Consider the following 5,792-nt stretch of genomic DNA (forward strand, 5'->3'; position numbering starts at 1 on the left):
CTCCAGGTGTGTTTGATTCTGTGAATTTCTTTTTTTCTTCTTCTTCTTAGACAGAGTCTCCCTCTGTTTGCCCAGGCTGGAGTGCAGTGGTGCGATCTCAGTTCACTGCAACCTCCACCTCCCAGGTTCAAGTGATCCTCCCATCTCAGCCTCCCGAGTAGCTGGGATTACAGGTGTTGACCGCCACACCCGGCTAATTTTTGTGTTTTTTGTAGAGACGGGGTTTCGTCATATTGGCCAGGCTGGTCCTGAACTCCTGACCTCAGGTGATCCACCCACTTCAGCCTCCCAAAGTGCTGGGATTACAGGCGTGGGCCACCTCGCCCAGCCCGATTCTGTGAATTTCAAATATGACTTCCGCCACTGCGTCATTAAAAACATCTAAATTCTGCCCACACAGCTCTCTAACACTCGGACTGGTTTTGCACAAAGTTGTAAAATGCAATTTAAATATCTCCTAAGTGTCAGAACCATGAGAAAGAAAAACAAATTAATCAACAAAGAATCCCATTTCAACAGTTTTCAAGCCAGCTTGTGTCTGTCACCAAACCACAGGTGAAATGCTAATAAAATCCAGCTTACATCAACAGCATAATAATTTAAAGATGGCCTATTTTTCCGAAGAAACACATATATTATATATTTCCAGACATGGCCTTTTTAATGAGTGTGAACTTTTTTAGAAGAAAATTATTAGAAGATAGCAAAAGTCTGCTGGAGAATAAAACGTGGCAGAGTCGCTGTTGAATGGCAGAAAAAATGATCCGGGAGGCCCATCAGCGGGGGCAAAAGCTGTCTTTTTCGGGTAATCTAGCAAGACGAATGCAGCAGGAGGGATCCTCAGAGAAAAGGCAACCAGCAAGACAACAGTAATGAAGTCATTTCACCTTTCTATCCTAATTTGAAGAGACGAGGCAATGGGACCTTGCACCAGCTTTGCATGCTGAGTGTGAATTGCAGCAGGAGAACCAACGAGTGAGCTGAGCCCATCGTAGTGAGAACAAACGGAGCCCTGACAGCCTAGGAGCTGACTCCCACCTGCCCTTGAGCCTCAGCATTGCCCTGTACTACGTGACTTGCCTTTCTCAAGCCCAAAGCCTCTTTCTGCACGTCCATGCTTTTGCACATTTTCTTCTCTCTGCTCCTTCTCTCCTTACCCACCTGAACCTTATTCCAAACCCAGATTCAAAAACTACCTCCTCCAAGCTGTCTTCCCTGATCTGCTGTGTAATGTCGAATACTCTTTGCTGTGGGCCTGTGAGCCTTCAAACTCTGCACTCTGCCCACGATTACCCACCTTATTAGCACATTTCTCACTCTACAGTGTATTACCTGCCTCCTAGACAGACTCTCCTACTAGATTGGAAGCTCTCTGAGGACAGGGGCCATGTTGCAGACATCCTTGTCACCCTGGTGTAGACCACAGAATTCAGCAGCCTCTAGGTGTCAATAAATTCTTATGGAAGCAAGGTAAGAGCCAAGGTAGAAAGCATCACCTTAAAAAGCCATTGACCCAAATGTTTAGGCCACAAAGTCTCCTTGAAAAGTCTTTACTAGGGTGGAGATGTAAAAGGATATGACCAAACTGGTGATTGTGTGAAAATTCCAGAGATTTGGATATTATGCTCATGACCCGAACGGCATGATCCCCTCCGATGGGATCTGGGGTTAAGCTTTGAAGTCAGGCAGGATCAGACTCACGACCCAGCTAGCCACCTTGCTGGATGGTCTTAGGCAAGTTACACAACCTCTCTGAGCCTATTTCCTCAACCAACATGCAGAGATAACTGCCCTGTAGGGTTGTTGAAAGGTTGTAATGAAATAGTTAAGTGGAAATGCCAGACACCACGATTCTCAATAAACGTCATGCTCTTCCCCCACTATGGTCTGAATGTTTTTGTGCCCCCCAAAATTCATATGTTGAAAACTAGTCATCAGTGTGACGGTAGTGGGAGGTGGGGTTGTTTGGAGTTGATCAGGTCAAGGGCCGAGCCCTCATGAATGAGATTAGTGCCCATATAAAAGAAGCCCCAGGCCAGGCATGGTTGCCTGTAATCCCAACACTTTGGGAGGCTGAGGCAGGCGGATCACCTGAGGTCAGGTGTTCAAGACCACCCTGGCCAACATGGCAAAACCCCATCTCTATTAAAAATACAAAAATTAGCCCGGTGTGATGGCATGTGCCTGTAATCCCAGCTACTCAGGAGGCTGAGGCAGGAGAATCACTTGAACCTGGGAGGTGGAGGTTGCAGTGAGCTGATATCTTGCCACTGCACTCCAGCCTGGGCGAGAGAGTAAGACTCTGGGCGAGAGAGTAAGACTCTGTCTCAAAAAAAAAAAAAAAAAAAAGCCCCAAAGAGCTGCCTTCTCCCTTCACCATGTGAGGACACAGCAAGCAGACACCATCTATGAACCAGGAAGGGGGCCCTCACCAGACACTAAATCTGCCCGCACCTTGATCTTAGACTTCCCAGCCTCCAGAACTGTGAGAAATAAATTTCTAGCTACCTAGTTTTTGGTACGTTGTTATAACAGTCAGAACAGACTAAGACACCCTTTTTGTAGAAGTTCCTGCTGGGAGATTTTAGACCACATGGTACTTCGATCTTTCCACCTGTGGAATAGGCAGGCATGCTCTCAACTTCTTATTTCACTTCTCAAGGAACAAGCTTATGTAAAAAGATTATTAATATTTATAACAAACTCCATTTATTACAACTGTCGTGTAAGTGTGATATAGTCATCCTGTTCTTCCTAAACAATGTAGGAATTACCATCTGTCATTTCTAAGAGGATTAAGAGATTGTCATCGATTAGAGACATGCTATTAGCGGAGTGAATGGTTGCCCGTGGAAGAGGCATGTCTCCCCATCGAGGGGGGACGAGTCTGTACTCTGCTCTCTGTGGATCAGTGGTCCTCCTAGCTTTGTGTGTTCCTCCCGAGACGTGCTGGAAGAGGGTCTCATATAATCCCTACTGCAACATTTTGAGGCTGGTAGTATGACCCACATTTTACTGATGAGGAAACCAAGGCTCAGAAAGGCTTTCTGAGTCCAAATCCAGTGCTCTCTGCTCATCCTTACCCAAGATGCTGCACGAGGGATGGTTGCATTGCAGGGAAGATGGAGCCAGGTGACTGCTAAGGTGTCTTCCAGGTGCAAGTTTCTCCAGGGCTACAAAAAGAATAGCAGGGGCTGAGAATTACCAGAGCGGGCGTCCTTTTCACTTCTCAAGAGGGAAAAGAGGAGGTACCTGAAGTGGGAATTGTGGCTGTCGGAAATATAATAGCACTCAAAATCAAATTCATGACACACCCCCTATAGTTATCTGCAACGATGTAAAACTGTCAATGTTTTCATCCACAAAGGGGAAAAAAACTCAGCTATGATCATGTCCTTGGGAGACAATTCTCAGGGATCTCTTAGGGTTAGAGCTGGGTAGCCATGCATCCCAGGCTGCCTAGGACAGCACCAGTTATGCAAACTGTCCCAAAATAACGATTAATAGTGCCCCAACACACTCTCAAAAGTATCCCGATGTATGTGGTCATCCCATAATCAAAATATGGGTACACATTAAAATCACACAGGAGCTTTGTAAGCAGCTTGAGTAAATCTGAATTCATGGGGGTGAGATCCAGGCATTGGTAGCGGCGATTTTTTTTTAAGCATGGTTTTAATGAGCAGCCAAGGTTGAAGGCAGCTGTCCTCGGTAGAAGACACGAGCCTCCTTGGTGAGCAAAGGGGCATGGGGTCCCTGGACAGCAGTTGGGCGGGGAGATGGGGGGACCCAGCTAGTCCTGCAGGGGACTTGGAGCAGCAGAGGAAGAAGCAGGAGGCTAGTCCAGCAGACGCCATCCGTGGCCCCGCCATGCTCACTGGTTCTTCTCCTGCTTGTGTTCACTTACCTGCACACTTCAGGAAGGGACTGCAGGCTCCTGACAGCTCATGCCGGGTGCCAGCTTGGCAGTGAGCGGGTAATTAGTGCTCATCGTGCTCCCAGAGAAAGGCAGTGAAGGAAGTCGCCTGTTTCACCTTGAAGCAAAGAAGGAGAATCCAGAAAAACAGATTTTTCCACACATTTTGGAGCGGTTCTGCCAGAGAATTCCATCGAGGTGTGTGGAGTTAGGCCACTGGCACATATCAGCCCCAGAGCCCAGGATGAAAACGTGTCCTGTGCAGGGTTTCTTGAACAGATTGTCCCCAAATGTTGCATCTCTCCTAATTAATGCTGCAAGATAAGTCTGTGGCCTCTCGTTGCACATCAGGGAGGTTCTTGGGAAGAGAAGGGCCTGCCATCTCCTTGTCCCAGCTACAGAGAGAACAGACTATCCCCAGGGAGTTCTCTTGGGTTTTGAATCACTTTTGCAGCTCTGGCATTTATGCTTCTGACCAAAAAGCATTTGCAAGAGGAGAAAATGAAGGTGGAGGTTTGTGAAAGGTTTCCCTTCCTAAGAGGGGCAGCAAACATCACTATAGCTAGACCTGAATGGTGTTGGTAGCTCCCAGATATATTCTAACTACTTCCTACATTATACCTGTCAGTATTTTTCAAACTATGCTCCTGAAAACCTCTTCAATGATGTATTAGGAAAACTTATTCTATAAAACACTACTTAAGAAACTTCAATATACATGGAAAAACATTATCATTTGTGGATTTAACAAGCACAGTTTTGACTTATGAGTAAGAAAGATATTGGCAGGATATTGGTAAGATATTGCCAAATTCCCCCCCAAGAGAGTTATAGCAATTTACGCTACCACCAATATCACACTCATACACACCTCTCGCTATCTTGGCATTTTCTAACTTTTTAATCTTTGCCACCCAGAAAAAACGAAAAAGATTATCTCCATGTTTTGCGGGGGTTTTCTGGCTTTTTTTGTTTTTGTTTTTTTGTGGTTTTTTTTTGAGAGGGAGTCTTGCTCTGTTGCCCAGGCTGGAGTACAGTGGCACAATCTTGGCTCACTTCAACCTCTGCCTCCCAGATTCAAGCAATTCTCCTGCCTCTGCCTCCCTAGTAGCTGGGATTACAGGCACCTGCCACCATGCCTGGTTAATTTTTGTATTTTTAGTAGAGATAGGGTTTCATCATGTTAGCCAGTCTGATTTCAAACTGACCTCAAATGATCCACCTGCAGCAGCCTCCCAAAGTGCTGGGATTACAGGCGTGGGCCATTGCACCCAGCCTATCTCCATGTTTTTTAAAATTTATGTTTCTTACTCGTGAGACTAAGTAAATTTTCATATGCTTAAGAAGCAGTTTTACTTCCTTTTCTATGGACTTTTTGTATTCTTTGTCCACTTTTCTTATCAGTTTGTTGGAACTTTTTATATATTAGAGAAACCATCCGTTCCTCTGTGACATAGCCTGCAAACATCTTTCCAGTTTGATGTTTTTTTTATCTTGTTTATGATGCATTTAGCTAAGTCAATTTTAACATTATTGGACTTATTAATATTTTCTCTTGTGGTTTCTGACTTATAAGTCATACTTTAGAAAGCCTTGTAAGGAAAAGATATTTCGTTATTTCTTTAGGATGACATGTTAAGGGGACTGAGCCAGGCCAGAAACCATTCAATAAGAAAATATTCAAAGACAACCACTACTTAACTTGTTCCTCTTTCTGCATGTGAAGACCACAGCACGCTAAGAGAAAGATGAGAAAACAGGTCATCTATTTTCAAGGAGGGTACACAATAGAGCTTTCCACTTGATAAACTTTTTTCCGTAAGATGTCTGTATTTGTCCATTCTTGCATTGCTATAAAGAAATACCTGAGACTAGG

Source organism: Homo sapiens, chromosome 16 (assembly GCF_000001405.40).
Source record: "Homo sapiens chromosome 16, GRCh38.p14 Primary Assembly".
NCBI classification, from domain to species: domain Eukaryota; kingdom Metazoa; phylum Chordata; class Mammalia; order Primates; family Hominidae; genus Homo; species Homo sapiens.